The sequence below is a fragment of the Homo sapiens genome, chromosome 5 (genome assembly GCF_000001405.40).
Source record: "Homo sapiens chromosome 5, GRCh38.p14 Primary Assembly".
NCBI classification, from domain to species: Eukaryota; Metazoa; Chordata; class Mammalia; order Primates; family Hominidae; genus Homo; species Homo sapiens.
Window position 1 is genome coordinate 134,901,644 of NC_000005.10, and position 23,001 is coordinate 134,924,644.

The window sequence follows — 23,001 nt, forward strand, 5'->3', positions numbered from 1 at the left end:
CTGTAATCCCAGGACTTTGGGAAGCTGAGGCAGGTGGATTGCTTGAGTCTCAGGAGTTCGAGACCAGGCTGGTTAACATGGCGAAACCCTGTCTTTACTAAAAGTACAAAAAATTAGCTGGGTGTGGTGGTGCGTCCTGGTAGTCCCAGCTACTCGGGGTGCTGAGGTGGGAGAATCACCTGAGCCCAGGAGGTCGAGGCTGCAGTGAGCTCTGTAATCATGCCACTGCGCTCCAGCTTAGGCAATCAGAGTGAGACCCTGTCTCAAAGCAAAAGAAAAAACCTGAGGCTCTCAATAACTTGCTTTCCTTCATGCAGCTTCCAGTGGCTGGAACCAGGCTTTAAATTTACTCCAAAACCTTTATGTGGGATGGCACCCTGCCCTGCCTTTGCACCATGGCCCAGCTACATGGGGTTCCCCTGGAGGGAAATGTGGAGCAGAGCCATTCCCTGGAGAGGAGGTTCAAGTATAGAGAGGATCAGCCTCAAAACACTGGTGCTGCCAGGTGCGGGGGCTCATGGCTGGAATCCTAGCACTTTGGGAGGCTGTAGTGGGAGGACTGCTTCAGTGAGTCGTGATTGTGTCACTGCACTGCAGCCGGGGTGACAGAGCGAGATCATGTCTCAAACCCCCAAAATCAGAAAAACAAAACAAAAACACCAGTAGTGTTGAGGGAAAGTGAAAAGGGGAAGGAAGTGATCAAAGACCAGCTGAACAGCCCAAGCTAAGCATGGTTCCACTACAGAGCATGTGGCCAGTAAATCTTTGCTAAGGGACTTAAATCCTATTAATTGGGGAGCTACATGTGTGGGCAGACAATTCACAGCCCCTGTGATGTGATCCACTGATGTCATCATTTCCCTGGGCCCTAGCATCTGCCGTTCGCTGCTTTTTTGACTAGATCTGCATGATCAAATTTATTTTATTTTTTTGAGGTGGAGTTTCACTCTTGTCACCCAGGCTGGAGTGCAAGTGCAGTGGCCCGATCTTGACCTCTGCCTCCCAGGTTCAAGAGATTCTCCTGCCTCAGTTTCCTCAGTAGCTGGGACTACAGGCATGCGCCACCATGCGCGACTAATTTTTGTACTTTTTTGTAGCAACAGGGTTTCACCATGTTGCCCAGCCTAGTTTCAAACTTCTGGGCTCAAGTGATCTATCCGCCTCAGCCTCCCAAAGTGCTGGGATCACAGGCGTGAGCCACTTTGCCTGGCCAGTGACTATATCCCAGATGCCAGTTTCATACAGTGGTATTAAGGAAGGAAAATGATTAAATTTACTGAAAATAATGAAGGTTCACTTGTTTACTCACATCCACTGGTTCATTTTTTAGTTCTTACTTTAATGAGCGAATCTGAGTAGTAGTTTTCATGATCATAAACAGTCAATGTAAATGTTGGAAATATAACTTTTAATTCTTTAGGACCAGCAACATTTGATAAGGGCCCCCAGTGTGATTCCTCCCGAGTTTTGCTTTTGAAATGGTTACATCTTTTTTTTTTTTGACAGAGTCTTGCTCTGTTGCCAGGCTGGAGTGCAGTGGTGCAATCTCAGCTCACTGCACCCTCCGCCTCCCGGGTTCAAGCTATTCTCCTGCCTCAGTTTCCTCAGTAGCTGGGATTACAGGCACGCACCACCATGCCCAGCTGATTTTTGTATTTTTAGTAGAGACGGGGTTTCACCATTTTGGCCAGGCTGGTCTCGAACTCCTGGCCTCAATTGATCCACCCGCCTCACCCTCCCAAAGTGCTGGGACTACAGGTATGAGCCGCTGCACCCGGCGAAATGGTTACATTTTGTCAAGTGGGCAAATGGGAAGAACAGAAGCCCGTGAATTTTGGGCTACTTTGAGGCAAAATGCTTTATTTTTTCTAGGTCCATATGGATGGACTGCTAATAACTGCTAAGTTGAAGTTAAATGGACTCTTGTTCTTAAAAAAAATATTTTGCCATATCCTCTGCAAAACTGCTTATTAATTTGCATAAACTTTTTTTTTTATTTTTGAGGGGGGTGAGGGAAAGGGTATTTTGCTGTCGATGGAATGCAGTGGCGTGATTTCAGCTCACTGCAGCCTCCCGGGCTCAAGCCATCCTCCCATCTCAGCCTCACGGATAGCTGGAACTACCAGCACGTGCCACCACGCGTGGCTAATTTTTGTATTTTTAATAGAGATGGGGTTTTGCCATGTTGCCCAGGCAGATCTCGAACATCTGGCCTCAAGTGATCCTCCTGCCTTGTCCTCCCAAAGTGCTGTGATTACAGGTGCGGGCCACCATGCCTGGCCTGCTTAAACTATTCAGTTAAAAACAAACAAAAAAGAGGCCGGGCGCGGTGGCTCACGCCTGTAATCCCAGCACTTTAGGAGGCCGAGGCGGGCGGATCACGAGGTCAGGAGATTGAGGCCATCCTGGCTAACACTGTGAAACCCCGTCTCTACTAAACATACAAAAACAAAATTAGCCGGGCGTGGTGGCGGGTGACTGTAGTCCCAGCTACTCGGGAGACTAAGGCAGGAGAATGGCGTGAACCCGGGAGGCGGAGCTTGCAGTGAGCCGAGATCGCGCCACTGCACTCCAGCCTGGGCGACAGAGCGAGACTCCGTCTCAAAAAAAAAAAAAAAAAAAAAAGATACAAGTGAGTATTCTTAATAGTATGTCAATTACATCTCAAAAAAGTCAAAAAAAAAAAAAAAAAAAGAATGAAAGAATACCTCCCCAAAAATGATACAAGAAAAGATTCACCTAAATCTGTTCACAGCTGTCTGCAGAGCTCCTACTGTGTGCTGAGCCTGGGGGTAAACAGGGCACGGACACGTTTGGGAGGGGATTACAGGCCGGGTTTCCACACTTTTTGGTCCAGGCAAACCCAGACGAGCCAGCTGGCTCAAGAACTTGGCAGCTGCGTGATGACTGAACAGAGGCTGCGTTCGAACCCACTACTGCAAGACTTAGGAGCCCCCGATGGGAACTGCCGTGGTTCACTGCCCCAGCCCCGCCGCTCAACTGCCCCGCCCTGGCCTACGACATCCTCCTGCCCGCATGGACTGCGCGCAGCGCCGCCAAGCGGGGAGCCCAGCTCGGTGCTAGCGCCCGCGAAGCGGAGGAGGCCGGCGCCCGAGGCTGGGCGAAGTTCCTCCTAGCGCAGCGAGGACCGGAGGGCAAGGCCAGCGCGCGCCGGGCGACCTGCGTCCCGGGCACAGACGCGACGGGCCCGCACGGGGCGGGGACCGCGCGCGCCTGCTGGGCCTACGGCTGTGGGGCGCGCAGAGTCCACCTGGCGGCCAAGGGCGCTGGCGACCGCTGAAGCTCCTGGGGGTGTTCGGGGTCCGGGCTGCGCCTGTGCCCGCGGGAAGGCTGGGCGCTTCCCACACACAGACCCCGCTCCGGGCCAGCCCCGCAGGGAGACTACCAGGGCTGGCGGTAGCTGGGCGTGGTCGGGTCGGGGGCGGCTGTGGGCGGCCGGCAGGCAGCGCGCGGGGCAGCCCTCGGCAGACGGCCAATGGCGGCGGTGCTCGGGGCGCTCGGGGCGACGCGGCGCTTGTTGGCGGCGCTGCGAGGCCAGAGCCTAGGGCTAGCGGCCATGGTGAGTGCACAGCGGCCGCGTGGGTGGGGGTCCGGGGTCGGGGGGCGGTGCGAGGCCCGGCGGCGTCGGCTGAGGGACCAGCGGGACTGGGGCGAACCCGGCGTGGGCCGAGCCTTGGAGCTCGGGCGTCGGGTCACCGCGTCCCGGGACTGACCACCTGTCCGGTGCGCCGCTCAGAGACCGGGGTGGCCGCAGCCTCCGCCACTTGCCCTTGACTTTACACTTCCGCCGAAGCCTACGAACTTGCCAACCGGAAACAAATGGGAACGAATTTTGTTCAGCAACTACAAAAGGCAGATGTGAAAAGTAGTTGCAGAACAATTCGGTGCCCGCTGCCGCTCGTTGTGCTGAGGACGAACGGCGCTGCGGGCCTGGCTCCCTATGGCGGCTCCCTGCTCGCGCTTCACTCCAAGGGGAACCCACAGAGGTTTTGGAGGAGTTATTAATAAATTGTCTTTTTTGGTGACATATTGACTTTTCTTTCCTTTTCCAAGGGGCCGTCAGTTTTCCTGCTGTAGAAATTAATATTTTGGAGTAAATGGAGGGAAAGTTTTAACATGCAGCACCACCTAGTGGAAAAGTGGTGCGTTAAACTCACCATCTCATTTTAAGTTGCATTTTAACCGCCCATTTCAGTTTGAAATGTTTTGTTTTGTTTTGTTTTTTCGACACGGAGTCTCGCTGTATCGCCGAGCCCGGAGTGGAGTGGCGCGATCTCGGCTCACTGCAACCTCCATCTCCTGGGTTCACGCTATTCTCCTGCCTCACCCTCCCGAGTAGCTGCGATTACAGGCGCGTGCCATTTCGCCCAGGTAATTTTTTATATTTTTAGTAGAGAGGGGTTTTCGCCATGTTGGCCAGGCTAGTCTCGAACTCCTGACCTCAGGTGATCTACCTGCCTCGGCCTCCCAAAGTGCTGGGATTACAGGCGCGAGCCACTGCGCCTGGCCTGAAATTCTTTAATAGAAGAATTTTTTTTTTTTTTTTTTTTTTTTTTTGAGAAGGAGAATCACGCCGTCACCCAGGCTGGAGTGCAGTGGCGCGATCTCGGCGTATTGCAAGCTCCGCCTCCCGGGTTCACGCCATTTTCCTGCCTCAGCCTCCCGAGTAGCTGGGACAACAGGCGCCCGTCGCCACGCCCGGCTAATTTTTTTGTATTTTTAGTAGAGGCGGGGTTTCACCGTGTTAGCCAGGATGGTCTCGATCTCCTGACCTCGTCATCCACCCTCCTCGGCCTCCCAAAGTGCTGTAATAGAAGAAATTTAAAATAGCTCGAAGACGGAGGAAGATAGGCACTCCGCCGCTTCTTGTCCACGAAGGGGAGAACACAAGTTGAGTGCCTACTGTCACCTAGGCGTGTCTTCAGGCGTACTCTGCCCCAGGTGCTAGTGATCCAGTAAGATTAGGGTGTTCTGGGAAGGAATGAGTCAACAGACATGATTTGAGCGCTGCCCCATGCCAGGCTCAATGCTAGGTACCCTCACATTCAAGATCTGTAATCTAAGCCTTTCAAAAAATCTTGGCAGGTAGATATTATAATATCCCCACTACAGACAGAAGGATCCCGGAATTCAGAAAAGCGGAGTTTAGTATCCCACAGCTAAAAGTAACAAAGTTAGGCCTTAGATCTAGTTTACTCTCTTCAAATCCTAGCCTACCCCCCATCCCCTGAAAAAATTAAGCCCACCACCAAGGGTTCTGCTGTGAATGTGCCCTCATGGGGGCCTTTGATGTTATGTAGATGAAGTGGCTCCATTTCCCAGTCCTGGGTGTGGTCCCTGCTGCTGGGCAGGTGTCTGTTGTGGGCATAAAGTGCATACCACTGATCTTAGCGGGGATGTGGATGGTCCAGCACTCAGAGAAAACAGCTCAGTGTGTTCTACAGACTCCAGGTTCCTGCCTTATTACAGGCAGCATGTTTAATGGTTTTCTTTGCAGCTACTCAGTGTGGACACACATAATTCTGTTTCTTTTCCAAAATTCTCTGAGTTGACAAAATAAGTGTTTAATAAGAATTTCAGAATTCTTTCTTTTTTTTTGAGACGGAGTCTCGCTCTGTTGCCCAGACTGGAGTGCAGTGGTGCGGTCTTGGCGCACTGCAACTTTGCCTCCTGGGTTCAAGCGATTCTCCTGCCTCAGCCTCCTGAGTAGCTGAGACTATAGGCGCGTGCCACCACGCTTGGCTAATTTTTGTATTTTTAGTAGAGACGGGTTTCACCATCTTGGCCAGGCTGGCCTCGAACTCCTGACCTTGTGATCTGCTCGCCTCGGCCTCCCAAAGTGCTGGGATTACAGGCATGAGCCACCACGCCTGGCCAAGAATTTTAGATTTCTTATGATAGATGTATGTGTAAGTTTTTCAGAACTGTCACTGGAAAACTGATGAATGAATCTCTTTTGATTTTTTTTTTTTAATTGAGTCGGAGTTTCACTCTGTTGCCCAGGCTGGAGTGCAGTGGCACGATCTCGGCTCACTGCAACCTCTATCATCCGGGTTCAAATGATTCTCCTTCCTCAGCCTCCTGAGTAGCAGGGACTACAGGCGCCTGCCACCACGCCCAGCTAATTTTTTGTATTTTTAGTAGAGATGGGGTTTCACCATCTTGGCCAGGCTGGTCTTGAACTCCTGCCCTCGTGATCCACCCACCTCGGCCTCCCAAAGTGCTGGGATTACAGGTGTGAGCCACCACGCCCGGACTTTTTTTTTTTTTTTTAAGAGACAGGGTCTCACTCTGTTGCCCAGGCTGGAATGCAGTGGTGATCATAGCTCACTGCAGCCTCAGTCATCTGGTCTCAAGTGATCCTCCCACCTCAGCCTCCCAAGTAGCTGAGACTATGGACATGGTCCACCACACCCGGCTATTTTTTAAAATTTTTTTGTAGAGACGAGGTCTCATTGCGTTGCCCAGGCTAGTCTTCAACTCCTGGCCTAAAATGATCCTCCCACCTCAGCTTCCCAAAGTGCCAGGATTACAGATGTGAGCCACTGTGCCCAGCCCTAGTAAATGTTTTTTTTTTTTTTTTTGAGACAGAGTTTCACTCTGTTGCCCAGGCTGGATGGCTGGGATTACAGGCGTGTGCCACCATGCCCAACTAATCTAGTAAGTGGTTTTTAACAACAAGCTTTTGCATATTTTTGTTTAATTAAAAAGTATTCTCTGCTGGGCACAGTGGCTCACGCCTGTAATCCCAGCACTTTGGGAGGCTAAGGTGGGCGGATCCCTCGAGGTCAGGAGTTTGCAACTAGCCTAGCCAACATGTGAAACCCTGTCTCTACTAAAAATACAAAATGTTAGCTGGGCGTGGTGGCATGCACCTGTAATCACAGCTACTCAGGAGGCTGAGGCAGAAGAGTCGCTTGAACCTGGGAGGCAGAGGTTGCAGTGAGCTGAGATCACACCACTGCACTCCAGCCTGGGTGACAGAGCAAGACTTGGTCTCAAAAAAAAAAAAAAAAAAGGTACTCTCATTCTTTCCTTTTGTTAGTTGTGGGGAAGAATAGCCGACCTAGCAAAGAAGAAAAACTAGAAAACTGATTTATTAGTATTTTTTTCTTCATAGAAAAAGTTGTCTAAAGGTAAAATCTTTTTCCTCTCTTAATATTAGTGATAAATGATTTTGGGATTTCTGAAGTGGGAGTGAGTTGCAGCTTAATGGCAGAGAATCCAGGGAATGCAGCTTAGCCCACAGTTGCCCTTTGATGAGGAGCCTTCACTAATGTTCATCTTTCTGGGTGACAGCCTCTCTCTCACCTGAGCCTACAGTAACTCTGCAAGTAGGTAAGGCAAGAAGTATTGCCTGGAATGAGAACCCTGCTTTCCTGACTTCTAGTCAAGTGTCCATATCTTCTCTCTGGCCCTGATGTTTAAAGTTATTTCAGTTAAAAAACCAATAGCATGGGAAGTGTGGGCCTGTTAACCAACAGAACCTGGCTTTGTGAATGTCATCCCCAGGATGCGTAGAAACAGGCCAGACAGTGCACACAAGTGCTTTGGACTGGGCAGTACTCTGGCCAAACTATGGAGAGAGTTTGTCTGACTGGTGCTCTGAGAAGAGGGCTTCATAAACCCACCCCACTGAGGCCAGGGCTTTTTACCTGTAGTCCAGAGGATCTGTGGACCCCCAGAAGTTAGATAAAATCCTATGTAAATGTGCATTTGTTTTTCCCCATCCGGGGATTGGTTTTCATTAGATGTGACAGGAGATGGTAATTCCAAATAGTTAAAACCATCTTTCATTCCTTTGTTCTCAAAAGACAGACCAAAACAAGGCTGGCTCTGTACAAAATAAGCTGTCTCTATGGTATGTTCCCTCTGGCCCCCTTACTGCTGCCTCAAACGTCACAGTTCAGCTTCTCTGGCTTATTAGAGATATAACAGAGAGTAGTGAAGGCTACTGAGGTGATGTAGGGCCATCCAAAGAGCAATAGACCAGGAGTTTGGAGCCTTGAATTTTAATTCTGGTCCTGCCAATAGACTTGCCACAAGTCCTAGAATTCTGCAGTGTCCAAGATGGCCGGTGGTAATAGTCAATCTTTGTTGTATCTGTAATAAACCACAGAAGGGCCGGGCGCAGTCACTCATGCCTGTAATTCCAGCACTTTGGGAGGTCCAGGTGGGCAGATCACTTGAGCTCAGGAATTCAAGGCCAGCCTGAGCAACATGGTGAAAATCCCTCTCTACCAAAAATACAAAAAATTAGTTGGGTGTGGTGGTGTGCACCTGTAGTCCCAGCTACTTGGGAGGCTGAGGTGGGAGGATCATTTGAGCCCAGGAGGCGGAGGTTGCAGTGAGCTGTGATTGCACCACTACGCTCCAGCCTGGGCGACAGAGCGAGACCCTGTCTCGAAACAACCAACCAACCAACCAGAGAAGCTGAATTGTGAAGTTTGAGGCAGCAGTAAGGGAGCCAGAGGTGACATGCCATGGAGGCAGCTTATTTTGCACAGAGCTAGCCTTGCTTTGGTCTCTTTAAGAGAACAAAGGAATGAAAGATGGTTAGAATTTGTTGCCTTTCAGACTTTTCTACATCTCTGCTTAAGGTAAGGAGCCATAAGTTTGAGTTTGAGTAAACTTGTACATTTTCAGATATGAAATGTGTTCTCTTCATAGTCATCAGGTACTCACAGGTTGACTGCAGAGGAGAGGAACCAAGCTATACTTGACCTTAAAGCAGCAGGATGGTCGGAATTAAGTGAGAGAGATGCCATCTACAAAGAATTCTCCTTCCACAATTTTAATCAGGTAATTGTTATAAATTCTTGCTAGGGCTGTGGTCTATTTTAGTCACCTTAGGCCATAACACTTTCTGATTCTGCCAGTTGTCTGGTCCCATGTAGATCTAGGATTCAACTCTTCCCTTCTTTAAGAATTCAGTGATAGAGTGACATCCTTGTTGACAGTTGCTACCACCCACCTGGGTGGTGTTTAGCTCTGGGGGAAGAGGGTGGTTTGTGTTACTTGGAAAACAAATTCTGAAACCACTATTGCTTTGGTATGGTGTTGGTTAGGATATGTAGTTTCTTTTGAAATTTCAAATAACATTAAAAGAGAGTGTAAGCCTTTTATTATTGATTATTATTTTTTGAGACAGGGTCTTGCTCTGTTGCCCAGGCTGGAGTACAGTGGTATGATTGTGGCTTACTGCTGCCTCGACCTCCTGGGCTCAGGTGATCCTCCCACCTTAGCCTCCTGAGTAGCTGGGACTACAGGCATGTGCCATGCCCAGCTAATTTTTGCATTGTTTGGAGAGGCAGGGTCTGGCTATGTTGCCCAGACTGGTCTCAAATTCCTGGCCTCAAGCGATCCTCCTGCCTTGGCCTCCCAATGTGCTGGGAATAGAGATATGAGCCACTGTGCCCAGCCTGAGCTTTTTATACTTATCAGAAAGGGGCATGAATAAAACTGGTTGAGGAAGATGTACCTGCTTGACTTATTTTCCCTGACTTTTTCTGGGCCGTTGGTAATTTTTCTTTCTTCCTGCAGTTAAATTTCTATCTCTCAGTCATCTCCCAGGCTGCACCCTTTTCCCTGACTGGCTTATTTTTCTCCAGCCCAGTAGCCAGATCCTGAACCTTTTCTTAAAACCTGACCTCCCCCTTGGAAGTCAGCTTTAACAAGGTAACTGTTCCATTAGGGACCCACCCTGTTTAGAGAGTCATCTCCCATGACTTAACCTTCAGTTATTACACCACTGCATTTGTAAAAGGTAAATGCTTTTGACTATTTTGTTTGTTCAGTTAGTTTGGTAATCCTTTGGACAGATTTATTGTTTTTATTTATATTGGGTGTCGGCATCTAGAAGTCAGAGACCATGTTTGCTTAAATAACTCTCTATTGTACCCAACACAGTTCTGGGTACAAACAGGCATTTGATAAATGCAGACATTGATTACAGTGTTTGCTAGTTTCTAGAAGGGTGTGTGAGGACCAGATTTGCACCAAAGAAACCTTCGGCATGTTTTCCTAGTAAATGTCATTGGCTCCACTGAGCTGCATGCCCGATTCTGTTCTCTATCCATCTGGCTGCCAGCCTCTGCTGTGAGTCTCCAACTCCTAAGGAAACCTGGACCAAGCAGACTCCCTGTCCCCGCTGCCCCACGTGCTCAACAGCTCTTGTTAGGGGCTTAGCACGCTGTGGCTGGTGGCAGGGAATCCCATTGGTACAGTAAGCCTGTGCATAAGCTCTAGGTAGCATTTTCCAAGCTTATTAAAATTCTTACATATGTACAGCTTGACTTCTTTAAACCTGGCCTAATTTATTGGGCTTGAACATGTGGCTTAAAGTACTCGAATGGTGTTGCCTCAGGCCCTGCCTATGATTCAGTCCTCCAGCACCATTCTGACCTTGCGCTCAGGGTGACTTTCAGCAATGGTAGGGAAGCATACTGGATTGATTGTAACATTATTCACTGGGGCATTTAATTAAGTAGACTTTTTTTTTCCCATTCACCCAACTTTTAGGAAAAAGAGGCAGATGACAAGAAAATCAGCTGATGTCAGGGAATGTATTCAGAGAACCAACACTGAGATTATATCCGGGGGTCAGTTTTCCCACTAGGCTCCTATGACTTCTGCGTGTACCATGGCCTGTAATGGTAACTGGTGTCCTGACAGTTGTCAGTGCCCTCCAGCGAAACACAACTAGGAACACACCTACAGTCGAACAAGTTGAGCTTATTGCTTATTGCTGTGAGGGAGAGTGCACACCAAAGGGCACCGTGGGGTGAGCCCATATAGGATTTGGGCTGTGGTAGTGATTTGGGGACTTTACTCTGGATTAGATGCTGTCAGGAAATGGGCAACTCTGTCATTTGGTATTTTAATAAATCGTATCTATAGGGAGAGTAGATTAAAGCAGTGCCAAAGCTGAAACTGAAGAAGAAGCAATAGTCACTCATTAGCTGGGAGAGGAGGATGTTTGGTATTTTGTGGCTTGGACAATGTTCATGTTTTGTCTGTGTTCAGGTATTGCAGAGTGGTCTTGTTTTTGTCTTCATCCATCATGGTCACAGAGTGGCCTTGTCTGGTGTTGATGTTGATGTTCGAAAGGAGAGCACCAAGGACTGGTTGATAGTACCAGGCCAGCGCCCAGGTGTCAGGAGTTGGTTTTCTCTTGCTCACAACTCGTGAGTAGAGTAGTGACCCTCTGGCGCTGATGGGTCCTCATTCATCTTTCATTTAGGACAGAAAAGCCATTGTTTTTTATTGTAACAACAGCATAACATTAAAATAGGATGGTGTAAGTAAAAAAAATTTCCAATCGCAACTACTTTTATTTTTCTCTGTTCTCTTCTGGTCTTTCTCCATGGGTATGTTTGTTTGCCAAGTATGCCAGAGCATGCCAGTTATACATGTGGTTACATTTAAAAAAATTTTTTAAATTTTATCATGAAATATTTATTAATTCAACAAAGATTTATTAAGCATTTTCTGTGTGCTAGGTGCTACTCTAAGCTCATACAGCTCCCATCCCAGTGGGAAAATAAACAATAAACAGATGAATAGGAAATATAATTTCAGCTAGTGATGAGTACCCTGAAGAATAAAGTAGGGAATTGGAGTGGAGGGGGACAGAGGCACTCTTGGAGGTAGAGTGGTCTGGAAAGTCCTCTCTGGGGAGGGGATCTCTGAGGCCTGAATAATGTGAAGGAGCTCAGCACATGGTGATCCAAGGGAAGAGCTTTCCAGCTGGAGAACAGCAAGCACAGAGTTTCCAAAGCAGAATGACCTTGGCATGATTGAGCCAGAAGCAGAAGGCCAGTGTGGAGTGGAGCAGGCGAGGAGACGAGGGGAAGGGTCAGAGCATGGGGGCCTTCTTGGCGTGGTGAGGAGTTTGGATTTTATTCTGTGAAGGAAAGCTAATGGAGGATTTCAGGCAGAGAAGTGTCATCCTGTGGCTGTGTTCTAAAAAATCACCCTGGCTGTTCTGCTCAGAATAGGCGGTAGGAAGGTCAGAGTGGAAGCAGGCAGACTCTGTAGAACACTGTTGCAGATGTCTAGACCGGGGATGATGGGGGTCTTATGGAGGTATCAGTGGGGATGGAGAGAAATGTAGGGTTCCACATATTTTGAAAGTAGAATAATCAAGACTTGCTGAATGATTGGATGTGTGATAGGGGAGGGTCAAGGATGGCACCAAGGTTTTGGTTCAAGCTATAGTGTAAAGGGTAGTGCCACTGGAGCCATTTACTGAGCTGTGGAAGATGGGGTGCAAGGTGGGGGGCAGGGGTATGGAGGTGAGAATCCTGTTTTCACATGTCAGGTTTGAGGTACTTATTAGTCATCCAAATGGAGTTATTGGGTTAGGAGGTGGGTGTAAGAGGCTGGAGTTCAGGCTGAGACAGCAGTTTGTGAGTTGTCAGAGGGGATCACTGTGAGAGCATGGTCCAGTTAGGCAGGAGAGGACAGGATCAGATGGGCAGTGGAGGCACAGCGATGATATGTCCATTGTGGTTTAGATGCCAATAGGCCGTTACATTCATCCTGGGAAAAAGAGGGCCATTCTCTCCTGATTGCTTTTGTTTTTTAGTGAGATCATCAATTGAGAGCAAGTAGGGGTGGAAGGGAAGAGTGTTGGAGACCTGGGGAGATAAGAGAAGGAGTGGAATAGTCATTTTGGAGACTAAGATAGTGAAAAAACTTGAGAAACGTGGCTGGTTGCTAAGCAGTTCTCAGTGTCACTACAGATTTGGGGTCAAACATTTAAAGTGAACATTTTGTATGTTTTTTTTCCTGCTGTGTTCCGCTGCTGTGCACAAGCTGGAGTAGATGCAGAGTTGGGCTTAACAAGGACTGAACTTTTGCTAAATGAATGCAATGGAGGAACAGAGGGACAAGGGAAAAAAGGGAGGGACAGAAACGCTGGCCCTTGGAGTCTCGGCAGGGTAGGGAAGTACAGTTGTGATGGGGAGGTGATAGTGATGAGCTGAGAGTGTCATTTGACATCATCTATTTTTTTTTTTTTCAGATGGAGTTTCACTCTTGTCACCCAGTCTGGAGTACAATGGTGCGATCTTGGCTCACTGCAACCTCCACCTCCCAGATTCAAGTGATTCTTCTGCCTCAGCCTCCAGAGTAGCTGGGATTACAGGCGCCCGCCATCATGCCCAGCTAATTTTTTGTATTTATAGTAGAGATGGGGTTTTGCCATGTTGGCCAGGCTGGTCTTGAATTCCTGACCTCAGGTGATCTGCCCGCCTCGGCCTACCAAAGTGTTGGGATTACAGGCATGAGCCACTGCACCCAGTTGACATCATCTTTTTGAAGGGAAATTGAGCAATGCCTATCAACTTTTAAAACTCACATACCAGAGCCGGGCGCGGTGGCTCACATCTGTAATCCCAGCACTTTGGGAAGCTGAGGTAGGTGGATCACGAAGTCAGGAGTTCGAGACCAGCCTGACCAACCTGGTGAAACCCTGTCTCTACCAAAAATACAAAAATTAACCAGGCGTGGTGGCGTGCGCCTGTAATCCCAGCTACTCAGGAGGCTGAGGGAGGAGAATCGCTTGAACCTGGGAGGCGGAGGTTGCAGTGAGCCGAGATCACACCATTTCACTCCAGCCTGGGTGACAAAGCGAGACTGTGTCTCAAAAAAAGAAAAAAAAGGACATATCCATTGTCCTAACCTAGAAATTTATCTTCTAAATATTGTTCTGCATGTATGCAAATAGGATGTATGGGGATGTCTATTAAAGCCTGATGGGCCTCTAATTTTTTTTTTTTTTTTTTTTTTTTTTTTGAGACAGGGTCTAATTCTGTTGCCCAGGCTGGAGTGCAGTGGTGTGGTCATGACTCACTGCAGCCTTGAACTCCCTGGGCTCAGGCGATCATCCCACCTCAGCCTCCTGAGTAGCTGGTACTACAGGTGTGTGCCACCATGCCTGGCTAATTTTTGAATTTTTTTTTGCAGAAAGGGGGTTTCTCCATGTTGCCCAGGCTGGTCTTGAACTCCTGGGCTCAAGTGATCCTCCTGCCTCAGCCTCTCAAAGTATTGGGGTTATAGGCATGAGCCGCTGCACCAGGCCTCTAATTTTTTATTGTGAGCAGCCATTTCCATGAGCATATGCACACCATGGTGAGAACATATCTCCCTTGCTGCAACCCTGCCCTCAGTGGGGTTTAAGGGAGGCCTGTTGTGCTCCATATACTCATAGCAATGGCAGCACCTCTCCTGGCCTGAGCTCTACAGACTGGACAAAGCCACAGTCAGAACTAAAGACACCCTCTCCCTGAAAGAGTGTGACCCACACTTGGTGGTGTCATATTGGAAAAAAATTTGGGGGCCAGGCACGATGGCTCACGCCTGTAATCCCAGAACTCTGGGAGGCCGAGTTGAGTGGGTTGCTTGAGCCAAGGAGTTTGAGGCTAGCCTGGGCAACACAAGGAGACTCCATCTCTACAAAAATAAAAATTAGCCAAGAGTGGTGGCATGCACCTGTGGTCTCAGTTACATGGGAGGGAGGCTAGGGTTGGAGAATCATTTGAACCCAGGAGGTAGAGGCTGCAGTGAGCTGTGATTGCACTACCACACTCCAGGCTGAGCGAAAGTGTGAGACTATCTCAAAAAAAAAATCTTTGCTGAATATAGGGTTAAAAAATTCATTTTGTTTGTATTGCTCAATAGGTTATGAGCATTTTTCAGTTCTTTAGTCTTTTTATTTTTAATACAATTTTCAGGAGTATGATTTTACTTGGTTGGGTGTCACAGTTAAATGATTTGCTAATGTAGTTTGTGTACAGTGGTATCACAAGTTTGCTTTAGTCTTCATTTCTTTTGCTGCTATGAAAAATGAACTATTTTGGAAATATTTCAGTGACCGTGGATGAAAAACCTATTTCTTGAAGCTTTGAGTTATTCCAGGTTTACTATAAGAATAAATAGCCCCCAAAACACATTTGAACTTCTTTTCTCTCAGAGTTTTATTCTAAGGTATGGTTAGTTCCAAATAATCCAAATTCATTGGATAGCTCAGATGGATACAAATACTTGGAGATTATAAGTACGGAGTTTTCAAGGGATTCTCCTAGCATAGGTGGATGAAGTAGCCATAGGTGTCAGTTGCTGTTAGCCTCCTGTTTCCACCCTTGGTGGTGGTACATGGGCTCTGCAGTGCGTCAATGGACAGTATGTTGGTGACAGACAGTGACTCTGTGAGCAGACAGAGCATGGCAGTGGTGGGACTCGAGGCAGGGAGTTTCCACACTAGGAGTGCTTGGACCCAGACAGGGTGGGATTGGCATTTGTAAAGGAACTTTGCTTTTTTGTTGTTCCTGTAGACAGAAGGTGGGAGAGGTCTGCAAGTGACATATAAACTTAGGTGTTTGGTAACTGCAGGATGTCTGTGTTGAAAGAACAAAATGTCAGGTAGAAATGTGGGTGTGAGAGTCCCATAAAGACAGATTTTGTTATGCATTGACATGTATGGGATGAACTGGAAGCTTACAAAATCCGAGGAGATTTTAAGTTTAAAAGTAGGTGCAGAAGGTGAGGCTTTGGAACCTAGGAAATAGCTACTACAGGTGCCAGCAGGTGGAGCCCTCCAGGGCAGGAGCCCAGCCGGGCCAGGCGGCAACACCCCTTTCTGCCCCCCAGAAGGCTGTCCCTGTTCTTTCACTTCTGAATACCTGGGGCTACCCTTGTTCAGCATGGAAATAAGCTCAGGATCAGGAACAGGTAAGCGGCAGTGGCTGGGCGCTTGGGTGAATGATAAATTTTGTGTGTAGGACATGAGGAGTTTCCAATGGTGATTCAGGAGGAAGGGACCAAGCTTTGTGAGAATCAGCGGTGGTTCTCTGCGGAGGAGCTCCTGGGCCCTGTCTGTGCTTTCTTCGGTGGGCCTGCCCAGCAGGGCATTCAGTCATATTGGATGGAATCATATGAGCTGGTTGATATTCAGGGCAAAGTCCAAGCTTTATTGGTTTTGTATCTTGTTCATCACCCTCACCTTTTGGTTGCTGTGCTGCTGCCACTGAAGCTTTCTGGAGCTGCAGCGGGAGGGAGGAGGAGTTCTCTGGGTGCCCAGGCTGGGTTGGTGGTGCTCTGCACATCCTAGCAGCAGTAGCACCATATGTGACTTTGGGGTTCGTAAAATGTTTCTTTTCCTGTGTCCACAGAGACTCCTGTGTAGAGCAGTTCAAAGTTACTTTTGCTGCCTTACTTTATAAAAATGTTTTATTGAGGAATTTGATAATAGGCTTATGGTGAACATTTTGAAACACTTAGTGAAGTCAAAGGCTTGATGATACCAGAAGAAAGACAACTGCTGATGAAAGTCTTAACAATCCTCCACAGAATATTGGTGGAAGTCTCGATAGCTCTCATTGTGAATGAATTAGTTTGGGTTTGATTGTTCTTTGTTGTGCACATCAAAGTTATGAGTGAGTAATGCATCTGTGCACTCTTTAAAGAGGATATTCTACCTGTGGAGGATAGGGAAGCACTCCCAAAGAGGATGCCTGTGGCCTGGGCATCATATAGGTTAGAAAATGTCATTTTGTGCTGGGCATGGTGGCTCACACCTGTAATCCCAGCACTTTGGGAGGCCGAAGCAGGCGGGTCACCAGAGGTCAGGAGTTCGACACCAGCCTGGCCAAAATGGCGAAACCCCTTCTCTACTAAAAATACAAAAATCAGCTGGGCGTGGTAGAAGGTGCCTGTAATACCAGCTACTTGGGAGGCTGAGGCAGGAGAATGGCTTGAACCCGGGAGGCGGAGGTTGCAGTGAGCAGAGATCACGGCACTGCACTCCAGCCTGGGCGACAGAGTACTCCATCTCAAAAAATAAAATAAAATAAAAATTAAAAAATGTCGTTTTGATTTGAAAGTATAAGCTAGTGTTTGTGTGTCTGGCACCAGGTAAAGTGAAAACTCGTATGGCTGTCACACACACTGTTGCATTTAACATGTGCTCATGATTGGCTTTGTAACCACAGCAGACTAGAAACCTGAGAAAGTGTTCATAGTTTTCATTGGAATAGAATAGAGACACTCATATTTTAGCAAACTTTACCTAAAGTGTGAGAAGCTAGTAAAAATATCTGTGTAGTGTTCATGTTGGTGTTCCCTTTGGAGTTCTTCCTGAGCAGGACCACGCTGATGCTCCCAGGAGGTGGCTAGAATGTCAGTGTTGGCGTCCACCAGGGTAGGGAAATAAGAGCCTGAAATGTTATCATTTGGAGCTTTGTTGCTGCTGATTGTGTCGTACAGTAGGTCTAGACCTGGCGTGTATTTGTAAAAGCGCATGCAACAGATAGATGAGGAGAAATGTAAAACAGGTGTCAACAATGCAAATATGACACCACACTGCAGTGTGAAAACACCATGGTCCTTACACCACCCTTTAATAAAAATGGACTTTTAACTGCATAATTTGCTCTTAGTCATGTAGTAAATCTTCTGTTTACAGAACTTAGCCTGAGTATTTTGTTAAAGTCAAGCAGCCAAGAAGTATAATTTCCTCAACAGTCTTTGTCTTGCCCTTTTACAGATGGAGTAAAATCAGGTGTGTAAAAAATAAAAAAGCAGTTTGAGCTGACGTGAAAGGTATTTCAGATTTATGCTTTGCAGATGATATTGGTATGATTAATGCATTCATTGCTTTTTTTTATTGCTTTTCACAGATAATGTACATGATGCATGGAAAATGTTGTGGGTTTAAATCTGTGCCAGGTTTAGACTGTGAATATCAACAGATGTTATCATATAAGTACCATAATTATTATAAAATAAAAAATTTGTCATGAAATGCAGTGACATAAATTTCATTTATGTAAATTGCTTTCATTAGTATAAAACCTTAGTGTAGCTGTTAGGGTCTGTGAAGCACTTTAGATGAGATTAACTTGGTATAAAGTGGTCACAAATGGGTTGCTTTAAATTTAACTGACAAGAAAATAACACCCAAAACTTAGGAAATTGCTGAGGCATTTGCCTGCATTGCTGGTACCGCTTAAATAGGTTGACTGTGAATTAATAACAATAGACTGCTGGCTCAATAATTGCAGAAAATAATTGAAAGGAGACCTTAAATAATAACTTAAAAGTATTTTGGTCTTGCTCATTTCTGTTCTGTTTCTGTTTTTCGTTAGTATGCCTGCCCACCGCTTCAGTACTGCCATTATCAATAGCTTTCGGGTTTGCACTGCAGTTTTGTCCATAGTTGTGGTGCTTTAGGGCCATGACACAGAACTTGCATTTAGATGTGTCAGAATACAAATATTGGGTGCCTGATGGAGCAGCTGTAGTGGCTGAGCAGTGCTGCACTCACATTCCTGTGGCTGGGTAGCGGCCAGTTGCTTTCTGCCCTCAGGAGGGATTCGGTCCAGCGGTGTGGGCAGGTGGCTGAGGTTCTTCTTCCTGGCTTTGAGCTCTCCATGTTTTGCTCTTTTTCTTACATCCTTTTAAACAAAACAAAGCAGTAATATTCTCTCCCCTGTGTTGCAGAGAATTACTATTATGTTGCGCTTTTGATCTAGGTTAGAGTGGGGCATTCTGACTCATTTACTGAATTTCGCAGAAAGACACTAAACAAGATTGAGATCATGGAATTACTTGTGGTCATACTGGGTCATGTCACAGTTACCAGATGCAAGACTCACATCCCTGGTTCCCACAGCAACATTTTTAGATCCTACTGTGACATAGAAAGGTTGTTTTTTTGATTTTGTTGTTTTAGGCGAGATCTTGTTTTCCAAGGACTACTTGCTGGATTAGTTTTCTCCCTTAAATGGGTTTTACCATACTTCCCAGAGGAAGGGAATATTCGCCAGCTGAAACAAACAAAGCTGTACTTGTTTGGGAGTAGCCCAGGTATCACTGTTGAGCAATCAAAGGTCATTTAATTGTATCATTAAAATCAATCCTATCAAAACAGCAAATGCTGCTAATGACTCTGTTTGCTTGTGTGCTCTCTGCCAACAGGGCAGGATGGAGGCTTTTTTTTTTTTTTGAGACGGAGTCTCGCTCTGTCGGCTAGGCTGGAGTGCAATGGTGTGATCTTGGCTCACTGCAACCTCCACCTCCTAGGTTCAAGCGATTCTCCCACCTCAGCCTCTCAAGTAGCTGGGATTAGAGGCACCTGCCACCAAGCCTGGCTAATTTTTTGTATTTTTAGTAGAGATGGTGTTTCACCAACATGGCCAACATGGCCAGGCTGTACTTGAACTCCTGAGCTCAAGTGATCCGCCCGCCTTGGCCTCCCAAAGTGTTGGGAATACAGGCGTTGAGCCCAGCTGCTGAGGCTTTTTGCTATATCATACATCAAACTGACTTCAAGTGCCCTGTCCTCGCCATCGCAGCCCTGTCGGTGGACATGCACCAGGTGGGTGGAGCAGCCCCAGGCTGGCTGGGCCAGGAGTCACATGGTGTGGTTCTGTCAGGATTCGTGAACCCAGCAGAGCTGTTGGGCTTATATCCACTGAGGGGCTAGTGCTGGTCTGGATCCAAGAGGTGGAAGGAGGAAGATGCAACAGAAGGACCTGGTTTCGTTTCTGCCCAGAAGATCTCCTAGTTTTGCTGGGGAGGTGGCACATCTGAATTGTACAAGGTGATTGATTTTTTTCAGCTTACCATGTTAGTCAGGTACTAGAATGTGAAGTGCTGTGCTAATAAGCCACAGGAGGTGCACTTCAGGGTGGCTGCTGCCTGGAGAAGGGGAGTTTTGAGTTGGTTCTTGAAGATCTGGTATGTGGTTGTAAGGGAAGGCACTAAGGGAGGGGTTAGCAGGTGACATAGGTCTAGGACAGGGAGTAAGAGGACATACTTTGTCTGCAGTGTGTTGGGAAATAAGGGCCCTAAAATGGGTTCAGTGAGCTGGGCCACAGAGTACAGGGGGGTTCCTGTGGCGTACTCTCCTGGGGTAGCTTTCCCACCAGTTTAGGGTGTCTGAAAGCAAACTCTTGTCTCTCTAACTGTCCTTCAAATGGCTTGTTCCTCTCAGTAGCCACACCAGCATCCTCTCAAGCACCTAGACCTGAAACGGAAGAATTATCCTGGTGATTTGTTACCAAGAACTGGTCAGTCGTCCTGTAGTGCCTTTCACAGGACTGTGCTGCTGGCCTGGATACAGCTGCCTTCCCTCTAGAGTTCTGGTAGGAGCTTCCTGGCCACATGTTACCTTTAGGCTCTTCCTGCTTCCACTGGCCTGCGTGCCACTTTGTCATGACCAAGTTGGTCTCTGCTCAGATAATCTCACTGCCTTCCAATTATATTTTATAGGGCATGCTTCATCTTCTCAGAGGTTTTCAAAGCTGCCCACAGCCCAGCCCTAAGCCTACCTCGCATTACTCTGCAAGAAGCCTCTTTGCTCAGAGATTAGAACTGCAATGTTCATGAGAGGTCACCTACTCATCCCTTTCACTGAAGAAGTGGGGAAAACAAGGCTCAGACAGGGTGAGTACCTTGACCAAGGCCACAAAAATTAGTGTCCATGCAGGAATTGGAACCAAGGCCCTTTTCATCTCAGTTCAGTGGTTTTTTTGTTTTTGTTTTGTTTTGTTTTTAGAGATGGGGTCTTGTTCGGTCACCCAGGTTGCAGCCTGGAACTCCTGGGCTCAAGCGATCCTCCTGCCTCAGTCTCTTGTGTAGCTGGGATTACAGGTGTGAGCCACCACACCCAGCTCCTCAGTTCAGTTCTTTTCTTCCTTTATTCAAACTGTTCTTCTCCTTTCCATGCCCCATCTCACACTATCCTGCCCCTTCTGTTCACATCCCACCTATTTCTAGAAAGTTTTTCTTGATTTTTATGCACTTAACAATAAACAGTTATCAAACACTTACTGTAGGCTAGACACTATGCCAGACACTGGGGTATCAGTTAACAAAGCCGATACTGTCCTTATCCTCACAGAGCATACAGTATAGTGGGGGAGGGAGAATGTAAACAAAGAAAAAAGTTAATGTATCATTACAAGTTATGCTAAGTGCCAGGAAGGAAAATCTTTTTTTTTTTTTTTTTGAGACGGAGTCTCGCTCTGTCACCCAGGCTGGAGTGCAGTGGCGTGATCTGGGCTCACTGCAAGCTCCGCCTCCTGGGTTCACGCTATTCTCCTGCCTCAGCCTCCCGAGTAGCTGGGATTACAGGTGCCCGCCACCACGCCCAGCTAATTTTTTGTATTTATTTATTTATTTTTTTAGTAGACACGGGGTTTCACCGTGTTAGCCAGGATGGTCTCGATCTCCTGACCTCGTGATCCACCCACCTCCGCCTCCCAAAGTGCTGGGATTACAGGCGTGAGCCACCTGCCCGGCCCTAGGAAGGAAAATCTTAACAGCAAATGGTTAGTGAACACTTAAACTATGGGTCATGGCACTATGGGAAGGACTTTACATGTATTCATTCATTTAATCTTCACAGAACTCTGTGAAATAGATTTCCCAAATTTTACAGAGGAGGAAACTGAGACTTGCTAAGTGACTTGCCCAAGGTCTCACAGCTAGTAAGTGTGGAGTCAGGATTGGATTCCAGGCAATCCATACTGTTAGTGGCTCAGATACTGCCTCTGCATCAGAAAGGAGTGCTGTGAGAGAGAATAATGGGAAGACCTAATTCTCTTTGAGGAGCATGGTTAGGGAAGGCCTAACCATGGTGAGAATAGTGTTAACGTCATTAGGGTGAGAAGAAAGAGAAATAAGCCGAGGATGTCTTTGATTGTGTAGTAGGGGTGGAAGGTGATTTTGTCGGAATGGGAGGTGATTCCTAGGGGGTTGTTTGATCCTGTTTCGTGTAGGAATAGAAGGTGGAGCGCTGCTAGGGCTGTGATAATGAAGGGCAAGATAAAGTGAAAGGTAAAGAACCGTGTGAGGGTGGGACTATCTACTGAGTAGCCTCCTCAGATTCATTGGACCAGATCTGTTCCGATGTATGGGACGGCGGATAGCAGGTTTGTAATTACTGTGGCCCCTCAGAAGGATATTTGGCCTCATGGGAGGACATAGCCCATGAAGGCTGTTGCTATAGTTGTAAGTAGGAGGATGATGCCAATGTTTCAGGTTTCTAGGTAAAGAAATGAGCCGTAATATAGGCCTCGGCCGATGTGTAGGAAGAGGCAGATGAAGAATATTGAGGCGCCATTGGCGTGAAGGTAGCGGATGATTCAGCCATAATTTACGTCTCGGGTGATATGGGCGATCGATGAGAAGGCGGTTGAAGCGTCTGGTGAGTAGTGTATGGCTAGGAATAGTCCTGTGGTGATTTGGAGGATTAGGCAGGCACCAAGAAGTGAGCCGAAGTTTCATCATGCGGAGATATTGGATGGGGTGGGGAGGTCGATAAATGAGCGGTTAATTAATTTTATCAAGGGGTTAATTTTGCGTATTGGGGTCATTAGTGTTCTTGTAGTTGAAATACAATGATGGTTTTTCATATCATTGGTCGTGGTTGTAGCCCGTGCAAGAATAATGATGTATGCTTTATTTCTGTTGAGTGTGGGTTTAGTAATGGGGTTTGTGGGGTTTTCTTCTAAGCCTTCTCCTATTTATGGGGGTTTAGTATTGATTGTTAGTGGTGTGATTGGGTGTGTTATTATTCTGAATTACGGGGGAGGTTACATGGGTTTAATGGTTTTTTTAATTTATTTGGGGGGAATGATGGTTGTTTTTGGATATACTACAGCGGTGGCTATTGAGGAGTATCCTGAGGCATGGGGGTCAGGGGTTGAGGTCTTGGTAAGTGTTTTAGTGGGGTTGGTGATGGAAGTAGGATTAGTGTTATGGGTGAAAGAGTATGATGGGGTGGTGGTTGTGGTAAATTTTAATAGTGTGGGAAGTTGAATAATTTATGAAGGAGAAGGGTCAGGGCTGATTCGGGAGGATCCTATTGGTGCGGGGGCTTTGTATGATTATGGGCGTTGATTAGTAGTAGTTACTGGTTGAACATTGTTTGTTGGTGTGTATATTGTACTAGAGATTGCTCGGGGGAAT

The 23,001-nt window shown here is 47.1% G+C and overlaps 1 protein-coding gene and 2 pseudogenes across 1 annotated transcript in view, besides 5 other annotated features; 2 read left to right on the top strand and 1 right to left on the bottom strand.

Annotated features, from left to right (window-relative positions):
- Positions 3,044-3,803: a silencer, noted in NCBI's record as "silent region_16371". NCBI's record gives its function as "represses an Ori minimal core promoter by ATAC-STARR-seq in GM12878 lymphoblastoid cells {active_cell/tissue: GM12878}" and the evidence as "EXISTENCE:reporter gene assay evidence [ECO:0000049][PMID:35858748]".
- Positions 3,044-3,985: a biological region, named in NCBI's record as "H3K27ac hESC enhancer GRCh37_chr5:134240734-134241318".
- Positions 3,401-3,985: an enhancer, noted in NCBI's record as "H3K27ac hESC enhancer chr5:134240734-134241318 (GRCh37/hg19 assembly coordinates)". NCBI's record gives its function as "activates a minimal SCP1, AML or CMV promoter by ChIP-STARR-seq in naive and primed H9 embryonic stem cells {active_cell/tissue: H9 hESC(naive and primed)}" and the evidence as "EXISTENCE:reporter gene assay evidence [ECO:0000049][PMID:30033119]".
- Positions 3,488-23,001, top strand: part of PCBD2 (pterin-4 alpha-carbinolamine dehydratase 2) — a 57,514-nt gene continuing 38,000 nt past the window's right edge. The window contains exons 1-2 of the mRNA NM_032151.5: positions 3,488-3,580; positions 8,692-8,823. Coding sequence (NP_115527.3) covers positions 3,497-3,580; positions 8,692-8,823 — 216 coding nt within the window. The 5' untranslated portion in view covers positions 3,488-3,496. The remainder of the gene's footprint in view (positions 3,581-8,691; positions 8,824-23,001) is intronic.
- Positions 3,986-4,571: an enhancer, noted in NCBI's record as "H3K27ac-H3K4me1 hESC enhancer chr5:134241319-134241904 (GRCh37/hg19 assembly coordinates)". NCBI's record gives its function as "activates a minimal SCP1, AML or CMV promoter by ChIP-STARR-seq in primed H9 embryonic stem cells {active_cell/tissue: H9 hESC(primed)}" and the evidence as "EXISTENCE:reporter gene assay evidence [ECO:0000049][PMID:30033119]".
- On the bottom strand, positions 21,660-22,406 carry MTCYBP18 (MT-CYB pseudogene 18; annotated as a pseudogene).
- Positions 22,116-22,410: a silencer, noted in NCBI's record as "tiled region #11731; K562 Repressive DNase unmatched - State 16:ElonW". NCBI's record gives its function as "represses a minimal TATA promoter and a strong SV40 promoter by Sharpr-MPRA in K562 cells {active_cell/tissue: K562}" and the evidence as "EXISTENCE:reporter gene assay evidence [ECO:0000049][PMID:27701403]".
- MTND6P4 (MT-ND6 pseudogene 4) lies at positions 22,480-23,001 on the top strand (annotated as a pseudogene).